This window comes from Homo sapiens, chromosome X, assembly GCF_000001405.40.
Source record: "Homo sapiens chromosome X, GRCh38.p14 Primary Assembly".
In the NCBI taxonomy this organism is placed as follows: Eukaryota; Metazoa; Chordata; class Mammalia; order Primates; family Hominidae; genus Homo; species Homo sapiens.
This window is the reverse complement of record NC_000023.11, coordinates 38,308,386-38,330,334: the sequence shown is the minus strand read 5'-3', so window position 1 is coordinate 38,330,334 and position 21,949 is coordinate 38,308,386. Positions and strand designations below refer to the sequence as shown.

The 21,949-nt window shown below is 38.9% G+C and overlaps 2 protein-coding genes across 19 annotated transcripts in view, besides 1 other annotated feature; one reads left to right on the top strand and one right to left on the bottom strand.

Moving 5' to 3' along the window:
- OTC (ornithine transcarbamylase) overlaps window positions 1-2,651 on the bottom strand; it is a 95,245-nt gene extending 92,594 nt beyond the window's left edge. The window contains exon 1 of the mRNA NM_001407092.1: window positions 2,460-2,651. The gene's annotated coding sequence lies outside the window, so the exon portion shown is untranslated. The remainder of the gene's footprint in view (window positions 1-2,459) is intronic.
- The window catches only part of RPGR (retinitis pigmentosa GTPase regulator), a 58,347-nt gene continuing 39,223 nt past the window's right edge, over window positions 2,826-21,949 (top strand). For 11 of the 18 annotated variants that reach the window (NR_159807.1, NR_159805.1, NR_159806.1 and 8 more), the window contains exons 1-7: window positions 2,826-2,995; window positions 6,811-6,936; window positions 7,390-7,482; window positions 9,246-9,308; window positions 11,348-11,506; window positions 12,870-13,019; window positions 19,562-19,720. Coding sequence is in view for 11 of the 18 variants with exons in the window: in NM_001367251.1 (NP_001354180.1) it covers window positions 2,968-2,995; window positions 6,811-6,936; window positions 7,390-7,482; window positions 9,246-9,308; window positions 11,348-11,506; window positions 12,870-13,019; window positions 19,562-19,720 (778 nt within the window). In the remaining 7 variants the exon portion in view is untranslated. Of the gene's footprint in view, window positions 2,996-3,102; window positions 3,199-3,382; window positions 3,658-4,399; window positions 4,563-6,810; window positions 6,937-7,389; window positions 7,483-9,245; window positions 9,309-11,347; window positions 11,507-12,869; window positions 13,020-19,561; window positions 19,721-21,949 lie in introns of those variants that run through there. The other 7 variants (NM_001367250.1, NM_001367245.1, XM_047442330.1 and 4 more) reach the window with 5 other exon arrangements.
- Window positions 2,888-3,137: a silencer, noted in NCBI's record as "silent region_20735". NCBI's record gives its function as "represses an Ori minimal core promoter by ATAC-STARR-seq in GM12878 lymphoblastoid cells {active_cell/tissue: GM12878}" and the evidence as "EXISTENCE:reporter gene assay evidence [ECO:0000049][PMID:35858748]".

Genomic DNA, 21,949 nt, shown 5'->3' with positions numbered 1-21,949 from the left:
TGTGAAACGGGTCTCACTGGACTAAAATCAAGGTGTCAGTAGAGTTGCATTCCCTTCTGGAGACTCTTGGGGAGCATCCACTTCCTTGCCTTTCCCGGCTTTCAGAGGCTGCTTGCATTCCTCCGCTCATGGCCCTTACCTTCATCTTCACAGCCAGCGCTGTTGTATCTCTCTGACCACTCCTGCATCTTCACATCTTTTTGTGACCACAGCCTGGAAAGGCTCTTCACTTTTAAGATTTCATAGGATTTAATTGGGCTTACCTGGTTAATCTAGAATAATTTCTCCATCTCAAGGTCCTGAATCCAGCATCTCACAACTGCAAAGTCCCTTTTGCCATGTAAAGCAATAGACTCACAGATGCCGGAGATGATGGCATTATTGAAAACTAAAGTACAGGGTGGGAGCAGGCCCTAGCACAGGGGCTCAAGAGCCCCTTTACAGAATTTTCTGGGATTTTATTACCCTCTAGAGGTTTCCCACTGGTTACTTGGTGCCATTCCCAAGTAACCATTGGTATATTTCCCATTGGTTACTATGTAAATGAACTAGTGGCCTTGCAACCAATCAGAGGCTGAAGTGTACTTACAAAGGTTACACCCTATTCAAACATCTGATTGGTTGTGGAAAGCAACCAATCAGAGGCTAAAGTGAAGTTACAAAGTTACACTCCCATGCAAATGTCTGATTGGTTGCAAAAAGCAACTAATCAGAGATACTTTCAATTTTCCGTCTGCCACGCAGAAAAAGGGGGTGGGGGTTGCAAAGGGAGTAGCCTCTGGTTCTTTTGTTACTTAGGTATGGAAAGTTGGGGTTTCCTTTTGATTTAGTTCTAGGAAGTCAGCATGAATTGGCCTTAGCTTTCCTGCCTCCCGACCCTATTCTACTGCCTCAATTCTACAGTCACTTTCCAGTGTTGCAAGTATCTCAAGCCTGCTTTCACTATATAGACCCAGTCATTCCTCAAATACGTGCCTCCTTCTGGGGCTTCTGCTCACCAATTACCTGCTCAGCACCTCCAATTTGATGTCTTAGTGTGCTCAAGGATGAACTCATTATGCTCTTCTTGCCCCATTTACCTAACTCCAATGTCGCCAGCTCTTTCCTCAGTGTTCCCCATCTCAGTAAATGGTGCCCCCCTCCTGCTATTTGCTTATGTTGGAAACCTTGGAGTAGGGCTGCATCAATATCTTCTGGGATGCTTAGCACCAAAATGTGCCTTACTGTATTTTGAAATAAAAACAAATGACTGCATATTAAAAAGTAAATCTTTAAAAATTCTCATTTGCCCGTAGTAACAATTATGATACTCTAAAAATGAATATCAAATCCTTTTCAAAATAATTTAGGGCCCTATCTTTGCTGTTGCTCTAAGAACTATTTGGTAGTCCAGCACTGTCTAGGAGTCAATAGTCAGAAACCATTTCCTGTTGATTCTAAGACCTAAAATATTTTCAAATCTGCCTGCTCCTCTCTGGCACCAATGAACTGTACTCCAAGCCATCCTGACCACATGTCTGAAATTCTGCAATAGCCTCTGAACCCTTCTCACTGCTCCAGTTTATTCTCTACAAAGCATCTAGACCAGGCAGAATGATTTCAGGGACACACATAACTGATCCTGTCCTGTTGTTCTACTGCCTAAAACTTCTCAGTGGTTTCACATTGTCTTTAGGATAAAATCTCAGATCCTTAATAGGCCCAAGACCTTGCCACCTCGCTAGGAACCAGCCTCGCCTCTTGGTGTTCCTGGAAAGAGTCAAGCTCCTTACAAACCTTTATACACAATTTACTCTCTGCCAAGAGCTCTCTCCCCCTCCTGGCTTATCTTTCTCCAGTTCTTAGATTTAATGTTCTTTCTTCAGATAAGCCTTTCTTAACCTCCTACACCAGGTCAACGCTTCTTGTTAACCACTTCCTTAGTAACCTCCACTTTGCTTTGTAAGTAAATGATTATTTGTGTAACTAATAGTTTAATGTCCCCTCTTCATGTTAATGCAAACTTCCTGAGAAAGTGTTGGTAACACACAAGAGTAATTCAGGGATCCCTGAATCCAATTGTGTCTGATTCTAGGGCCCATGTCCACAACTACCAAACGTACGTAAATCTGCTCATTCTGGAAGATGGCTTTTTGCTTCTTTATTTCATGATAGCCAAATGTTGATGCATGGGAAACCCTGCATCATATAACATCGCTGAGCAAATTCTAGAGCAATGATGTTGGGCTACCCCTTTGTGTATGTTCTGTGAGTAGTGGACCATATACACCTCAGCTTTTACTTTTGTTGACTACAGGCTGGACTAGCTGGACTAGCTGCCCACATGCTTAAACAGAGGTAACATTAACCACTTTACAGGGTTGTAATAGTACTCATTTGTCCAATAAATACGTAATGAGCATTCAGTATAGGCCAGATGTTGGTTTAGATGCTGGGGATATCTTTAGCAGAGTGCTTACCTCCTTTAATGTTCCAGCTGGTCACTATTACTAGTAGTGTCATAATTGTGTGTCGATGCTTGCTTATGTCACGGAGTATGGGATTTGTGACGTTTGCCACTCATGGGCAGGGTCCCTGCGGCGCCTGGACCTCCAACGGCACAAGGGCGCGGACTCCACAGCATCACTGCGCGGCGTGGCCGCCTCTCTGCTCCAGGCCGCCAGAGGGCGCGTGGTCTCTACTGCCCCTCCGCTGTGCCTGAGCCTGCCCCTTACCAGCCACCCGGCCTCCGTTCCCCTCCCCAACGGCGCCTGTCCCGCCTTGCATTCCCAAGCTCCGCCCCCGTTGCCCGTAGCGGCTGTTTGTTGACTTCCGGGAGCGCGGTTGTAGTTGATCTCCGGAGTTTCGCCATGCGGAACTTGGGGGCTTTCGCGGCCCGCGTCGGTGCGGAGTAGCTGCTTTAGCCCCGACCAAACCGTCCTCTACAGCCTCCTGGCCCCGGCGCAGGCTGCCCGTACTGCCCGTGGCATGAGGGAGCCGGAAGAGCTGATGCCCGGTGAGTTGCGCCCGCGCCGGTGGCGGAAGGCCGGGAGGGAGGGTCCGCGGGCGGCCGGGCCCCGCCTCCGGATCGGCCCTGTAGGGGGACAGGCCCCAGGCTTGGCAGCCGGACTGGGGCGGGATCGCTGGTTGCGCTCCCGCGAATGACTGAGGGCAGAGGACCGGACGGGAAGAACAGGATGGGGGAGAACGGGAAAGAGGGTGCCTGTCTTTCGTATGCTTTTTAAATAAGCTCTTGATGAGCTTCTTGAAGGCAGGGACACTTTTTTTTTTTTTTTATGAGACGGAGTTTCACTCTTGTTGCCCAGGCTGGAGTGCAATGGCGCAATCTCGGCTCACCGCAACCTCCGCATCCCGGGTTCAGGCGATTCTCCTGCCTTAGCCTCCGAGTAGCTGCGATTACAGGCATGCGCCACCACGCCCGGCTAATTTTATATTTTTAGTAGAGACGGGGTTCCTCCATGTTGGTCAGGCTGATCTCGAACTCCCGACCTCAGGTGATCAGCCCACCTCGGCCTCCCAAATTGCTGGGATTACAGTCGTGAGCCACCGCGCCCGGCCAGGGAGGGACACTTTCTGTAAACTCCCCAAAGTGCGGACTCCAGACTTGTGCACTTTGGAGGTCCTGAGCTCCCGGTTATGTATTGAATGCAGTAAAGAGTGAGTGATCAGGGCTGTGGGGTAAAAGGGGATACAGGAAATAAATTGGACAAAGAGGGAGAAGAGGGACCCTTTAGCGAGTGTTTTTTAGCCTTTTTTTTCCTGAGCTCCATAGTTAGAAATACTTTTGACATTGTGACCCGATACTCCATATATACCGTGTAACAGAAATAGATGTCTGGTGAAGCAGTCCTTGTTCTATCCACTTAGATTCCACACACACCTTTTTGATAATGCATTCTTTTAAAATGCTGATCGTGATCCACTGAATTGATTTTCTGGCCCACTAATAGGTCACGACCATTTTGAAAAAACACTGGGTTTGAGCAGAATCATACCTTCACTGAAATATGTATGTTTTCTTCCATGCTCCTGGCCGGAACTGACATTCCTGGCCTGCAGTTCACAATTTAGTGAGACATACAGGAAAGTAAACAAAATGACCATATAAATTGACAGTAGATATTACAGGGCCAGAGCAGAGCCACCAAACCTTGGCTTGGGATGAGGGTATCAGGGAAGCCAGGGGAGCCAAGACAAAACAGTTAAAATGTTAAAGTAATTCATTCTGGGGAAACTCAGAGTCTGTTCTAGATCCTAGTCTCCCAACTCAATTATTAGTTGGAACTGAGATGCCTCACAGTGGTTCTCAAAAAGTTGTCCACAGTGGCTAGTCTCTTGCGTATTAATATTTATTATTAATACTTATATTCGCTATGTTTTCCTTTCTGGTACGAATTAGTTTATGTGTGATCACCCACCTTGGGATTTCCCCAAAAGCTGGACCTGGCCTACTATTTGGTGTATGTGTGTGTTTAAATGGTTATTGGGAAATGGTAGGGGTTTTTAGTCTTTCTTCAAAATGACGCTGTGCCACAACAGTTTGTGAATACTACTCAGATCAGGTAATGACTTGATGTAAGAATGTTAAAATCTCAACATCCCCATGTACTCCTCTCCCAATCTCCTAGGACCGTGGCATTTTGTGATGATGTTTTGGGGGGAAAGATAAACCGTCCTTTCCCATGTACTGTTTCTGGAAAGAGAAAAAGACATCTCTATAACTAACTATAGTGCATGAGTAAGATGAGAATTAGAAACTTCCTGAGTAGCTGTGTTGAGAGGATCTTTTCATTTTATAACTGGATCCCTAAACATTCTGAATTCTCAGAAATCAGGAAAAGCTAAAGTGCTCCTTTGTTGACGACTTGGTAACCTGTCTTTTATATTAACAATGTTGAAAGTTATATTTGACTACAAACTCTCCATTATGATGAATTGGTAAACAAAACATTCAACAGTTACGAATATACATGTGTGTAAGGGGGACCTTTTCTGTGTGAAAAGTAGAACACACAAGGGCTACTTTGTGCTAGGCAATATGGGTAGTGCATACCCTCTGTAACCTTAGAAAATAGTTGGAAAAAAACAACATTTGGGGTAACAAATGGTGAACTCTGTGTTTCAACACAGAAAAGCAGTGACTTTTTTTTTTTTTTTTTTTGAGACGGAGTCACAGTCACACTGTCGCCCAGGCTTGAGTGCAATGATGCTATCTTGGCTCACTGCAACCTCCGCCTCTGGGGTTCATGCAATTGTCCTGCCTCAGCCCCCCGAGTAGCTGGGATTACAGGCGCCCACCACCACGCCCGGCTAATTTTTGCATTTTTAGTCGACACGGGGTTTCACCACGTTGGCCAGGCTGGTCTCGAACTCCTGACCTCAAATGATCCACCTGCCTCGGCCTCCCAAAGTGCTGTGATTACAGGCGTGAGCCACCACTCCCGGCCGACATTTTTAAAGTATAGCTTTTTATTGCTTTGTGATGACCTCATCTTACATATTGTGCTACCTACCAATCTCTCTAATCAAACTGTTACACAAATCTTGCTGATTTGTGTAACAGTTTGATTAGAGAGATTGCTAGGTAGCACAATTATTTGCCATATAAATTCTACAGATCACGTAGTTCAGAGAAGCCAGTGATCATTTCCAACTCTTATGGTAGAGGAAGAGTTTACAGAGGTAGCTATTGAGCTAACACTTTGAGGATGCTAGGCTCTGGGCTAAGTTCTTTATACATGTCATCTCATTTAATCCTTACAACAACCTTTGAATACCTAATTGCCTTTAAAGCCTATGGTTTTTTTTCTAGCTGCTTTCCCTTAGTTCGAATGAAAGAGATAGTGGTGGAGTAATTTGTTTCTCTCTGTGCTGTCTCCGGTTTTATGGGTATTCATTGGGATTACCAACAGAGAAATTAAGAGTTCACCATTTTGGCCGGGTGTCATGGTTCACGCCTGCAATCCCAGCACTTAGGGAGGCCGAGGCAGGAGCCCAGGAGTTTGAGACCTGAGCCTGAGACCAGGAGTTTGAGACCAGCCTGAACAACATGCTAAAACCCAGTCTGTGCAAAAATTACAAAATTTAGCTGGACATGGTGGCACACGCCTATAGTCCTAGCTACTCCAGAGGCTGAGGCGGGAGGATTGCTTGGGCCCAGGAGGTCGAGGCAGCAGTTAGCCGTGATTGTGCCACTGCGCTTCAAGCTGGGTGACAGAGTGAGACCCTGTCTCAACAAAAATAAAAAGAGTTCACCATTTGGGCTAACATTGTTTCCCTTACATGAGAACACTGGAGGTTCCTTGGAAAAACTGGACCAAAGAAAATCCAAATTGACTGATAGAGACTCTCCCCATGGATAGCCTGATGATGTTAATGAGGAAACGAAATACTGTCCTGTTTCTGTGTGTGGAGAAAAGCTCTCAGTCAGAGGCCAGACCATGAGGTGTTAACTAGAACAAGAATAGCACAGATTGTGCCATTTCATTCCAGGGAATAGACATCTACTTGGTGACAGCAGAACTATTAGTAATAGATGACTGCCTTCCTTGTGATAGTATATTTCTTACTTTATACCAGTATATGAGTAATACATGTTCAATTTAGTAGATTTCATAGATAAAACTAGAATGGAGTCTGAGGAATAAGAAAGACTGAATTAAGGTGGAAGAAGGAAGGCTTAAACATTGCCAGAGTGGGGGCAAAGCTGTCATGAGACAAGGGGTTTGTATGGATAAATTACTCAAAAGTTATTTTAATAACAGGCAACATAGTAAAAGTTATAAAATAAAGACCGTCTTATATTTGCAGATTCGGGTGCTGTGTTTACATTTGGGAAAAGTAAATTTGCTGAAAATAATCCCGGTAAATTCTGGTTTAAAAATGATGTCCCTGTACATCTTTCATGTGGAGATGAACATTCTGCTGTTGTTACCGGTTAGTATTACAATCCTGAATAAGGACAGTAATACTTAGAAAATTCTAAATATTTTGTTATAGATATGCTGCTGTGTTTTAAACATGTTGAAAATATTATCAAAAGTGTTGTTTTTTACTTTGCTGGAGAATTCTTCACAAAATAAGTCATCAAGAGCATCTTTTAAATTTTAAGTTTCCTTAGTATATTTAAGTATGATTTTCTATACACACAACTTTCTTGGAATGAATCTATTTCAATATAATTTTTTAAAAAAACCTGTTACCGTATAATTTTAGAAACTCTTTTCCACCTAATAGAAACTGGTTATACATAGATGAACAAGGTAACTTATTTCAACACAGAAAAGCAGTGACATTTTAAAAGTATAGCTTTTTATTGCTTTGTGGTGACCTCATCTTACATTATGTGAAAAATGCTTCAATTGATTATTTCTTTTTCCCTCCTACCAGGAAATAATAAACTTTACATGTTTGGCAGTAACAACTGGGGTCAGTTAGGATTAGGATCAAAGTCAGCCATCAGCAAGCCAACATGTGTCAAAGGTTTGGGATCTTTTTATCTTTTCACAAACTGTATAAAGTATTTTTATGTTGACTGTGTAGTTCTTTAATGTCATAAATAATAAAGCTTTTAGTTCTTTATTTTCTGACATTTGCTTGAATATTATTAGCATTTAACTTATCTTTTATATGATATTCAGAACTGCTTTTATATGTTAGGGTCTAAAAATCAGATTGATTTTAAATCCAGGGACCACAAAGGAAGTAATGATTTTACAGTATTGCATTTGAATATCCCCCATCTTTTTTTGTTTGTTTGTTAGTTTGTAAAACTACTTACATATTACTGTTATTGTATATACAGAGAACAAACATATGTTAGAATTTTGAGCTTTTCTCATTTAATACAGTTGTGGACATTATGCTTCTATTTGGTTGCTGGTTTTATAAAACATACTTATCCTGCTTTATATAGTGACTAGGTGAAGTAAACGAAACATCGAGACTAGGGATTGATTAGTACTAGTGTAAAAGAACAACAGGACAAAATATTTGAAATCAGGAGTGTTCCAGAAAATATTAGATATATAATACCCTTACAAAGCTTTCTGGATGTTATATGCAAAACCTCTGTTTGGGTATAACCTGTGAACATCAGCTAAACTTGAAAGGATGATGGAGATTCCTTGAGAAGCAATAAGAGCAGTATTTTTTATCTTCCTGGCTAAATTTTAATTTCAGCTCAAAATTTCAGTGTAGCTTATCATATTCATGCTGTTTATGGGAATTGTTATGGAACTTTTAAAGTATTCCATGTGTTCAAAAAGTATTTATTGAGCATAGTCTAAACACCTGAGGATAGTCACAGTGACCATGACCCTTACTCTCAAATATCTTATCTAATAGACAAGCTAACAGGATTGTTTAGACTATGGGATCCTTGAGACCAGGGATTCTATCTTAGTCATCTTTTTGCAGCCCCTATGCCAAGCACGTAGGAGATGTTCTTTAAATGTTTTTTGAATATGTAGATGAATGAATGAACAACTTTGACTGATAGGTGTATGCCTATCAATATTGGTCTTCGGTTTTTCATTGAATGTGGTAGAAGGTGAGCTTGATAATGGTGATGGCAGGTTAGGTAATGGATCAGATTGGTGAGGAGGCAGCATAATAGAATACAGTGGGTCTCAGCACATATTAATTACCTGTGAAGTTGTTGTTTTTTTTTTTTTGAGACAGGGTCTTGCTCTGTCACCCAAGCTGGAGTGCAGTGGTGTGATCTCTGCTTACTGCAGCCTCGACCTCCTGGGCTCCAGCCATTCTCCCACCTCAGCACCCCCTCCCCGAATAGCTGCAACTACAGGCATGCATCACCACACCCAGCTAATTTTTGTATTTTTTTGTAGAGAAGGGGTTTCACCATGTTGCCCAGGTTGGTCTGGAACTCCTGAGCTCAAGCCATCTGCCTGTCCTGGCCTCCCAAAGTGCTGGGGAGCCACCACACCCGGCCTACCTGTGGAGTTTATAATTATATATATAAATGCCTAGCCGCTGCTTCAGACCCACTGACTCAGATTCCATAGGGGTGGGGCTAAGATATCTATATTGTATTCAAAGCTCCACTTGTTATGATGGTACACAACCAGTTCTGAAAACCTCTGGTTTGCTCGTTAAGAACATTGACTTTGGAATCAGACAAGCCCGCTATTAAATCTCGGTTCTATCACTTAGTTACCATTTGTCCTGGACTACTGTTCATTTTCATTGCTATAAAATAATTGTCCCATTTTAAATATTTTTAGCTCTAAAACCTGAAAAAGTGAAATTAGCTGCCTGTGGAAGGAACCACACCCTGGTGTCAACAGGTATAGTGCTCAACCTGTATGATTTCCTGCCTGACTTTGAGAACTGAGGTCTCATTCCAGTAACGTGGCTTTGTAAAATTAATAGAGATTATACTTTGGCAACAGTAAAATTAGGGTTTTTTAAAATGTCAATGGCTAGTACACGTTTGCCTTTGCAAATATACACGTAAATGTCAAATGGCTGAAGAAAAAGCTTCTTTTCTTGGATTCTATCATGGGACAGCATCTCCTAACCTGTGTGTCCACCTTAAGGGCTGGTTATTCCTGTTCTTGCTCTTCTCTCTTCCTTACTAAGGGTGAGTGGAAGGCACCCAGAAGGCTGTTGATGTGAGTGAGCATAATTCCCATCAAAATCCATATGAGCTTTTGTGTGTGTGTGTGTGTGTTTGTAGAAATTAACAAAGTGCTTCTGAAATTTATATGGAAAAGCAAATGACGTAGAAGAGCCAAAACAATTTTGAAAAATAACAGAGGACTGGCACTACCTGGTTTCAAGACTCGCTGTAAAGCTACTGTAATCAAGACTGAGGTATTGGCAAAAAGATAGACAAAGATTAATGAAACAGAATAGAGTCTACAATTAGACCCATATGTATATGCCCACTTGATTTTTGGCAAAGATGCCAAGGAAATTCAATAGAGAAAGGATAGTATCTTCAGCAAATGCTGCTGTAACATTTAGACCTCCAGGACCTGACCACTGAGCAGTACTTCCTACCACCTTCCCCCTGCCCCTGCCCCTTGCCCCGCCCCTCCCCCACCACCACTTATTCTGTCTTCAGGATGTTTTCACTGCCTCAGCTCCTCTCCACCTCTCCATACCTTTCCCTTTCTGAAGTGTCTTTTCTCTTTCTCTTAGCCTTTTAAGATTATTTCTTGAGATCCCATTAAGTGTTAACTTCTTTCATGGAACATTTTGTGACTGTGTGTTCATTTATTTGTTTGAATTATTTCAGCATCTCACCAACTCTGGTTTGCTCCATGTGTGTGAAATTGTGCACTCCAATTGCATGTGACCTTGTATTTTCCATTTGAAAGCTAGTCTTGTTTCCCCAATTAGGTTTCGTCTTTTCCTAAAAACAAAAAATAAAAATAACAATAACTTTAAAATTTTTACTAACTCAGGCTGATTTTGCCCTCATTTCACCTTATAATTTAGCAAGGCTTTAACTTCATTTATATATTTATGACATAACTAATTTATGTGTTACAAATCTTCATTAATTTACAACTTACTGGAAATGTTTATAATCTAGGCATGATGTACTTTTTATTTAATTAACAGAGTAATTAACAAACATTTTTACATACTTTAAATGAGCCAAATGCTGTTCTAAGAATTTTACAAATCTCAACTAATTCAATCTTCATAACAACTCTATGAAGTAGGTACTATTATTATCCTCATTTTATAGATGAGGAAAATGAGGCACACAGAGGTTATGGCTTGCCCAAGGTCCCACAGCTTTGGTAAGTGGTAAGCCAGAATTTGCACCCAAGCAGTCTGGCTCTGGAGTCTTTCCTGCTAAACAGAGTGCTATAGTGCCTTCCTATTTAGCTAGGAAGTTAAAATAAATACAAAGAATTATCATGTTTCTAATTAGATTCTTCTTGGATTTGCCTTGTTTTACTTATTTGTACTATTATATCTTAGCTTTAATGGTTACAGAAGTTAAAATTAATGGACACATCTCTTTTAAAATAGATTTGCATTTTAAACTAGTTTGGAAGTTACTTTCCTTGTTTTTACTCTGAATTAATAAAGTGCTATATTAGCAAGAAATAAATACGTTCCATGCATTCTGTTCATTTCAGTTGCTAGTTACATTCTAGATTGATTTCTAAAATCTCACAAAAATATGTGGCCTTGCTTGTTTTGCTTTATTTTGACGATGAAATGAAGTTGTCTCCCAAATAATAGGATAGTGATAGCTTTCAACTTTCTTCACTGTTAATAGAGGAAATCGCTGCTATACACTGACCTGTCTCATAAAAAGGGGGACTCTATAGTCTATTGACGTTTTCTTTTCCATGTGCAGAAGGAGGCAATGTATATGCAACTGGTGGAAATAATGAAGGACAGTTGGGGCTTGGTGACACCGAAGAAAGAAACACTTTTCATGTAATTAGCTTTTTTACATCCGAGCATAAGATTAAGCAGCTGTCTGCTGGATCTAATACTTCAGCTGCCCTAACTGGTGAGACTTGTTTCTTTTTCAGTCTGGGACACATTCCTTTCCTGTAGATCAATATATGCCAACTCAGTAAACCGAAGGGAGCATTGCTGTTTAGTTTTCTTTCATCGACTATCTATGTGCTTTCAGAAAACATTTAAAATATAACTTTAAATCTTGACATACTGCAATTTTATGCTTATTTATGCTTATTTTATGCTTATTTGTGCTTATTTAAATATACATTTAAAAAGTAATTGGCAAATAAGCTCTAAGCTATGCCGTCTGTCTACTCCTTTAGATATTCTTAAATATTATTTTTGTTGTGTGCTCTTAAAGTTATACTTGCAGTTTTAACTGAAGTTGCTGTCAGAAACATCCACAGAAATCTGTTGCAGCATATGTTGTTAAAATGTGGTTTGCAACGGTCATTGTACCTCTCTGCCCTCCCTACCAAAAGCCCATATGAGACATTTCTTTAAAATTTGGAGCCAAGATCAGCTTGATCTTACTGAAGCTGCTGGTTAGCTGCTTTGTTTCAAGCAGGAGACTGTGTAACATCCGGTGTTACTCTATCAGGAAAGTCAGAGTTGTCTCTGAGGCTCAGTCCTTTAGATTTTGTCAGCCCTTAAGTTAGCATTTTGACATCCTTCTTTCAGTTCTTATTTTCATTTATTTGTTTTGCATTATTAAAATACTTCAAAAATGTAAATTATTTAAAATATATAAATAAATAAGTCTTAATAATTCCTTTCTAAAATATTTTTCCTAGATTAACTTTTTCTGACATCAAAACCCTTATCAGAAATTATATGTTACCTATTTTTGAGATGCTGTACATGCTATTGTATCTTCATTCTCTGAGGCTAGATTCTGTGTTTTCAGGTTTAAATTATAAGGAAAAAAAATGTAGTGAAATACGTTTCTTCTGTTCTTTTTTCAAAACATCATTTCCACAGTGCTCCCAAGAGCAAGGTCTTCCAGGCTTTTTTGACCTGCAGGTGTCTAATGTGACCTGTGCTGTCTTTCAGTTCAGTTGCAGGTAGGCTGCTTGGAAGGAGGAGAACATTTCTGTTTAGAAACATCAGAATGGGAAAGGGTGATTGTAGGAAAGGGCATTCTGTCTTTGCTATCGAGATAAAAATATGGTCAGGACTTAAGTGATTTACAATCAGGCTGTTCTGTGTTCTTTATCATTATAGAAGCATTTCACAATATAAATTGAACTCTTAAGTAGCTAGCTGGTGTAAATGTCTTAGTAGTACTTTATTGTTAAGATACATAATTTTTATGAACTAATAAAATAAATGGTCTTTTGGAAGTATAATAGCTTCAGAGCCTGGCTACCTTTTAAAACCTTTTCTCCCCCTTTTATTTTTCTTTATAGAGGATGGAAGACTTTTTATGTGGGGTGACAATTCCGAAGGGCAAATTGGTTTAAAAAATGTAAGTAATGTCTGTGTCCCTCAGCAAGTGACCATTGGGAAACCTGTCTCCTGGATCTCTTGTGGATATTACCATTCAGCTTTTGTAACAAGTAAGACACATTTTGAAGTCATCATGTTATCTCCCACTTCTATGTTGTTATTAAATTAATAATGAAATGATATAGTCTCTGGTTCTATAGAAATAATGCCATGGTTGTCCATGTAATGAAATTATTTTGGTCTGTTTTAGGTCACAGTATTTCCCCATTTATATAATAAGAGTTCATAATTTCAAACTCTGTCTGACATGATCACTTTTTAGGTGAATATAGAGAGCTCAGCATGGGATATAGTTTCCTTTGGTGGGACTTTCTCAGCATTCCCAACTTCTCCCTTTCCTGGACCCACTGGCAACCTTTTCTGTCTTAGTTAAAATATTGGAAATGTTGGGCTCTAGCTGTTATAGTCTATATCTATCTACACTAGTAATAATAGAGGAAGTGTGATTATGACTTTCCATCTAATTGATGGGATTTTTCAACAGTAAAAACACCTAGAGGAAATAGTTTATGGACCCTCTTAGACAAATCTTTAAATATTTATTTTATACATTTACTCTTTATTCCATATACCACAGGCTCAGGGTTAGAAAGTGGTAATTCACCCATTTCACTGCCCCCTAAAGTTACCAATGAATTGGTAGCAGCATGATACCAAGAGAGAGTAAACCTGACTTTGTCAGTATTTTTCACCACTGCATCCCTGGTGTCTTGAACAAACTGATAATCAATAAATATTATTGAATGAGGGAGAAAGTGAATAAATGATGAATTGATTGCATTCCTTGAGGCAACACTACCTACCAACTTATTGGCAACTTTTGGCTCCTGGGGTTGGTATAGTCTGTACTCGCTTTGTTCATGAAACAAAAACACAAATGGGAAAATAAGCCAACCAAACAACAAAAATACCAAGTAAAAGCATTGTATCATATTTGGGCTTTAAGAAAACTGCCTGAATGAATTGTGTGAATGAACTCTGCATTAGCCGTTAGGTGAACAAGTGGAATAGTTCATCTTAACCAACAGGCATTACATTGAGCTTTTTTTTGGTTTGTTTTTATGCCTTTTTTTAATTAAAAAAAGCTCAGCTTTATTGAGATATAATTCACATACCCTACAATTCACCCATTTAAGGTGTACAATGGAATGTCTTTTAGCATATTCACAGGTTTGTACATAAAATGAACTTTTATACTAAGCATTTTGCTGAGATTCATTTACATCAGCTGATATGAACTGTCAGTAATTTTCACACTAGCCATTATTTTATGACTTTAATCACTTAAAGCAACTTTTTATAAATTTTGGAAATAACTCAAGTATAAGGGGTTTTACTTAATATGTATTTCATGATAGAGGAAAATGTTGTATAGAAAAGCATTATTTTTTTCTCTTTGTATGTTGAATTTGTAGATCAGAAAAAATGGATTATTTTTAATTTTTAATATTTGTGGGTACATAATATATATATAGTGGGTACTACAGATATATGTTTAGTGGGTACTCTCTCTCTCTCTCTCTCTCTATATATATATATATATATGTATATATATGGAATACCTGAGATGTTTTTATGCAGGCATGTGATGGGCAATAATCACATCATGGAGAATGGGGTATCCATCCCCTCAAGCATTTATCCTTTGTGTTATAAACAATCCAATGATACTGTCTTAGTTATTTTAAAATGTACAATTATTTTGATTGTAATCATCCTGTTGTGCTATCAAATACTAGAAATTATTATTTCTAATTTTTGGACCCATTAACCTCCCTCCTACACACACCCCACTACCCTTTCTAGCCTTTGGTAACAATCCTTCTACTCTTTATTTCCATGAGTTTCTTTTGATTTTTACATCCCACAAATAAGTGAGAACACGCAGTGTATGTCTTTCTGTGCCTGTTTTATTTCATTTAACGTAATGACTTCCAGTTCCATCCACGTTATTGCAAATGACCGGATCTCATTCTTTTTCATGGCTGAATAGTACTCTATTGTGCATAAGTACCACATTTTTTCTTGTTTTTTGAGACAGAGTCTTGCTCTGTTGCCCAGGCTGGAGTACAGTAGTATAGTCCCGGCTCACTGCAACCTCTGCCTCCCAGGTTCAAGCGATTCTCTTGCCTCAGCCTCCTGAGTAGCTGGAATTACAGGCGCCCACCATCATGCCCAGCTATTTTTTTTGTATTTTTAATAGCGACAGGGTTTCACCATGTTGGTCAGGCTGGTCTTGAACTTCTGACCTCAGGTAATCTACCCTCCTTGGCCTCCCAAAGTGCTGGGATTACAGGTGTGAGCCACCGCGTCTGGCCCCACATTTTCTTTATTCAGTCATCTATTGATGAACACTTAGGTTGCTTCCAAATCTTGGCTATTGTGAACAGTGCTGCAACAAACATGGGAGTGCAGATATCTCTTTGATATACTGGTTTCTCTTCTTTTGGGTATATACCCAGCAGTGGGATTGCTGGATCATATGGTAACTCTGTTTTTAGTTTTTTGAGGAACCTCCAAACAGAATAGTTTATTTCCTAATAAAAATACAGAACATATTACTAAGATAGTTATGTTTAAGACTTCCTACAGATTTTTCACCTACTAATATGTTTAAATGCTCATGTTCGTGTTTTAAATTCATGTTCTCAATTCAAGTTCATATTATAAATTATATAAAATATTCAATTTTTAGATCTTATAGATAAATAAAATCTATGGAGTTTTCAGGTATTATCCCTGATTGCTGTGTCTTTTCATCTGATATGTTAATGGTTGGGTCTGAGCATTTTAACCAGTGATTCACTGAATTAGGTGTAGTACAATAGGGGATATAAGTAAATGAGTTGGGGTTATGGGAACTGGGGGCAGGAATTTGTGGAGCAATCTTCAGATACTGGAGAATAGAGACTTGGCAGTGTGCTTAAGATCAGAATCCTGGGGAAGGTAGCTGTCAGAGCCAGGTAGAGAGTTTGAGGAATCCAGATTTTATAAAAATTAATAGGCCTAAGTGAAGTAGATATAATTGATATGAAATGACCTATTTATTCTTTGTGATAAATGTTATTTTATTTTTTATATATAAATAAGAAAAATACCTTGGAATTAAATAAAACATTTTATATGGATTAAAAGCACTCACCTTCCCCTTTAAGGAAGGTCCTACTGATAGCTACAGGAAATATCTTTTCTAACCCTTTACAGCAAGCTCGTCCAACCCGCAGCCTAGGATGGCTTAGAATGCCGCCCATCACAAATTGTAAACCTTCTTAAAACATGAGATTTATGCACAGACCTTTTCTTTTTTTAGCTCATCAGCTATCGTTAGTATTAGTGTATTTTATGTGTGACCAAAGACAATTCTTCCAGTGTGGCCCAGGGAAGCCAAAAGATTGGACACCCCTGCTTTATAGGTAAAACATTTTACTTTAAAAAGTCGACACTGTGAGAAACTTCATCAACTTACTATGTAAAAGTCATTTTAAATGATATTTCTTACAATACCAAGTTGATTAAAATGTAGTACCTACCCTTCTGAAGTTTACAGTCAAACTATAGGATGTATAGTTTTTCCATGTACAAAGCATTTTCAAGTACGAATATATTTCATTTAATCTCCCAACCACTCTGGGAGAGAGGTGGTGGTATCTGAGATTCCATATATGCAGGCAGGTTTAGAACACAGTTTTATTCAAGGTGATGCTGCGATTGAGTTGCAGAATCAGAATTCGAACTCCAGTCTTCCAGTTCTAAAAGCCTGAACAATTTCTACTGACATGCAGTTTCTCTCCATATACAAGAGGAAGAGGAGGATGTGGTAGCAACTAATAATGACCAGGCACTGATTATGTGTTCTATGTGCCTTTGAATGCATTAATTCGGTTATTCCTATGAAACAACCCTATCACATAGGCACTTTTATCCCCATGTTACAGGCCCAGTGATTGAACAACTTGCTCAGTATGACTCAGTAAGTGGCAGAATCCACATGCAAACAAGGCAGTCTGACTCTGTAGCACATACTTTTTGCTACTGTGCTAGACCAATAACTGCAATATACAGCAGACCATGATTGGTAACGTAAGACATTTGATAGCAGAGTCTTACGTGAGAACAAGAAAGAAAAAATATTATTTCTTGTTAGGGGCGTCAGGACATATTTCAGAGAAAGGGTGGTATTTGAGATTAACCATGAAAGATGGAAACAACTCTGAGAGAGACAGAGATGAGGGAAGAACAATCCAGGCAGAGACAAAAACATGTGCAGAGATATAGAGACAGAAAAGTAAATCATGTATTTGGAGATTATTGCATAGTTGAGTTTGTTTAGAGGTTGTTTGTTTAGAGGTTAGGGATCATGGATCCTAAAGGAATGTAAACCCCTGAAATGATATGCTAAATTTGGTAGGTGCATTTTTTTTTTTGAGCTAGGTCTCACTCTGTTGCCCAGGCTGGAGTGCAGTGGCATAATCACGGCTCACTGTAGCCTAGACCTTCTGGGCTCAAGTGATCCTCCCACCTCATTCCTCCGAGTAGCTAGGACAAAGATGCGTGCCACCACACTCGGCTAATTTTTGTATTCTTTGTAGAGACTGGGTTTCACCATGTTGCCCAGACTGGTTTCAAACTCCTAGACTCAAGCCATCCACCAGCCTCGGCCTCCCAAACTGCTGGGATTACAGGCATGAGCCATCACACCCTGCTGGGATGTGTACTTTTTTTATAGAGCTGTCATCAAATTCCCAAGGGAGGATGTGACTCAAAAGAGAGTCACCAGGTTGGGGAGTAGATAGAAATATGACTGGTTAGTAGTCCGGGAACCTAATATGGAAGGTCTCTTGTAACAGTCTGCAGTTTGTACTTGATACATGTATTTTTTTTTTATTTGGAAGTGTCATAATTAGAGCCTTGTTTTTGGAAGATGCATCTGATATTGTGTGGGTATGTTAGACTAGAGGTAGGAAAGACATTTGGAAAACTTGATCCAGGTGAAAATTCATGTTAAGGTGTAAAGGGAATCAGGAATCTATAGACAGAAATGGAGAGAGACTCATCAGGACTTAGGAACCAGTTTCCTATGGGAGGCAACAAGCATGGGAAAATGGAAGGGTGCTAACTTACTGGGCACCACTTTTGTGCCAGTGTTTGCTAAATACTTCATAGAAAACTGTGGTCCATAAAACTTCATTTTCTGTGCAGATCAATTCAGAAAATCAATATAGCTGTGTTTACAGTATTTGAGCAAGTTCTAAGTGGTGCATATCTTGTGCATTGGCTGTCCCACACCTTCCTGAAGTTCTGTGATTTTCTAGAAGGACTCACAGTCTTCAATAGCGATTATACTTACGAATAAGATTTATTACAGCAAAGGATACAAAGCAAAAAGAAAAAGTGGGAAAAAGATAAGCATCTGCAGTGGAGTCCAGAGAAGTCAAGCTTGGGCTTCCTAGTACTTTCTCTTAGGAAACCACACAGGGCATGTTTTCTTAGCAGTGAACTACAGGGACATGTGTGGAATGTCTCTGCCCAGGGAAGCCCATTCTGTTGCTTCTAGGGGATTTAGGGGGCTGGTCATGTAGGCACCTCCTGCTAGCAACTGGCCACAGCAGCTGAAACTCAGGACCCTCAATAATGAAGCCAGGTGCACATCATCAATGTTGATGTTTGTGCAAGCAGCCCTGACAAACCTAATCTGGCATAGTTCATTGCTCTGGTATATATAACAAAATCATTAATCATTCACATAAAGAACACTCCAGGGGCCACCTTCTCAGGGGTTGGGCAAGGATCAATCATGGTTCTCTCAGAGACTTGCAAAGAATAAGCAAGCAGATCTGCTCTGTTGTCTCTTTGCTTATACCAATGGTGATATGTTCCATGTCATTCTTCAGATTGGATCATATACTTACACAAGGTTTTTAAATTCTACTTTATAGAACTCAGTTAATTGCATAGAAATGAATAAGAAAGTTCTTGCTTTCAAGAAGTTCACAGTCATAATACAGTGTGATAAATGTAATAAAGAAGCAAATTAATAGCGTTAGTATGGACAGGGCAGTGATTAAGTGTCAGGAACTCCTTGGTAAGAGTCTTTGGAGGAAGTGCCATCTAAATGGGTAAAATCTGCTATCTTAAGATTTACTTAACATATTTACTGCACACATAAGTGAGTTTTCTAAAACCAGTTTCATATAAAGCAATTATTCATTCATTTATTCCACAAATATTAAGTGCTTGTTCTAGACACTGCTAGGTTTTGGGGATACCATAGGGAGCAAGACAAAATTCATGTTTTTATGGGAGCTTTAAGTAAGTAAAAGACACAAGATATTCTTCACTTTTGTGAAAGCACTAAAGTAATTTTCTAGTTGTTTATTAGTAGTGGTAGTCATGAATTTTTCATGAAAATGATTGGATTAAAATAATCAAGGGGAAAAGAAAATCTAGCTTTATTTCTTTATCATACAGTAAAAATATCTCAAGAAAGGTCAAATGTATTAAGTGATCCTTGTCAAAACTTTTTTTTGACGGTAAGACCAGCTTTTTGTTCATATGTATGTCATCACTAATCACTATACTTTTCCTTCAATAGCAGATGGTGAGCTATATGTGTTTGGAGAACCTGAGAATGGGAAGTTAGGTCTTCCCAATCAGCTCCTGGGCAATCACAGAACACCCCAGCTGGTGTCTGAAATTCCGGAGAAGGTGATCCAAGTAGCCTGTGGTGGAGAGCATACTGTGGTTCTCACGGGTATGTGTGGAGTCCACTGTTCTGTTCCCTGCGTTCTGTGGTGGCTAATGAAATTTTTTTAATGTTCATTTTTTTTATGTTCATTTTTTTATTGTGGTAAGAATACTATGAGAACTACCTTCTTAATAGATTTTTAAGAGTATAATAAAGTATTTTTATGTATAGGCACGACCATTGTACAGCAGATCTCTGAAACTTATCTTGAGTAACTGAAACTTCACGCCCACTGTACGGCAACTCGTCTTTCCGGCCTCCCCTCAATTCCTGGCGACCACCATTTTATTATTAGCCTCTATGAGTTTGACTCTTAGATACCTCGTGTCAGGTGGCCTTTGCATCTCTTTCCATTAAGATTCTCACTTTTTGGACCTGGTGCAATGGCTGACACCTGTAATCCTAGCATTTTGGGAGGCCAGGAGATCTCTTGAGCCCAGGAGTTCGAGACCAGCCTGAGCAACATGACGAAACCCCATCTTTACTAATATTAGCCAGGTGTGGTCTCAGGTATTCAGGAGGCTGAGGTGGGAGGATCACCTGAGCCAGGGGAGGTTGAGCTTGAGGTGAGCTGTGATTGTCCCACTGCACTCAAGCCTGGGCAACAGAGCAAGACCTCGTCTCAAAACAAAAAGAAAAACAAACAAAAAAAAGATTCTCACCCTTTATTCCTGTACTTAATATACATTTCTGGTCTATGGAATATTTTTTTTAAGTAGAAAAAAAATGAATCTTGTTGAATTGTTTCTGCTAACATAATTTACATTTTCATGACCTTAACTGTTTTTTTTTGAGACGGAGTTTCGCTCTTGTCATGTAGGCTGCAGTGCAATGGCCTGATCTTGGCTCACTGCAGCCTCTGCCTCCTGAGTTCAAGCGATTCTCCTGCCTCAGCCTCCTGAGTAGCTGGGATTACAGGTGCCCACTACCATGCCCAGCTAATTTTTGTATTTTTAGTAGTGATGGGGTTTCGCCATGTTGGCAAGGCTGGTCTCAAACTCCTGACCTCAGGTGATTCACCAGCCTCGGCCTCCCAAAGTGCTGGGATTACAGGCGTGAGCCACCACACCTGGCCTGACCTTAACATTTTTAATGGCAACATATTACATTATTTTTAGCTCATTTTCAGGGACAAACAATTTTTCTCATGTATATGTTTTCTATATTTATCTAAAATTGACATTTTTCCTGAAATGCCTTCTTTTGGAGAAGCTTTTTGTTCAAGCTATTTTCTATATGTCATTGATAATTCTTTTCTTTGTGACATTTACAATGTGTAGCTTGGGGATTTCTTTGTAGTTGTATGTTCTGTTATAGTAATTCATTAAAAAGTGGTATGGTTTTAAATTACAGATAATAAAAGAAAGTTAGGACCTTAATGTTACTTTTGGGATCTGAATTTCATATTTGTTATGACATGTCATTTCTCAGGATTCTAATCACTGTATTGAAATATACTCACTACTTGCTAATATGTTTACTAAATTGATGCTTCCAAATTTTTTCAACATTAGATTTATTTTAGATGAGTAATGTACATAATACAATTAGGTAGTGAATTATTATTATATTTTTTGCACAAAAAAATTAACAGTTTGTGAAGTCACCACTTAATCTTTAGTAGCCCAAAGTTAGAAATGTTGTAGACAAATTTTGAATAATATCCAATTCTAAGATGATATGCCTAATGTTGCCAGGTAAGTGAATAATATTTTATCTTTATGTTTTTTTCTCTGATGTTACTTTTCCTCAGCTTCCTGTTCTAGCCCCAGTCGTGGTTATTAAGCTTTAGTTTCTAGATGGAATCTTTTCTAAGTTAGAAATAATTTTTTTTCAAAACTTATACTCTAAATTTGGAAATAATTCTGAGGTTTAAGATGTTTTTGAATTCCTGCTGAAAAAGTGAATTTTATATAATTTCGAAAATATTCTAAAAATTAAACTTTGAAATTAATTTTTACACATTATCTGAAAATTCATTCTATAGGCAGAAATGCAACTTTATGTGTTATATATTTTCTCTAGTTTATACAAAGACTATAGAAAGAATTAATTTAATAGGTCATTCAGGGTTATTTTAACAGATACAAATGTTGATTGTATAATAGTGTCTTTAACCATTCATTATAAAACATTTTTCTATAAAGAGCAACAAGATAATCTATGATACTTTTAATGAAAGCTCAATTCTTAATTTTAAATTCTTAATTTAAAATAAATGCACTTAAGGATGAT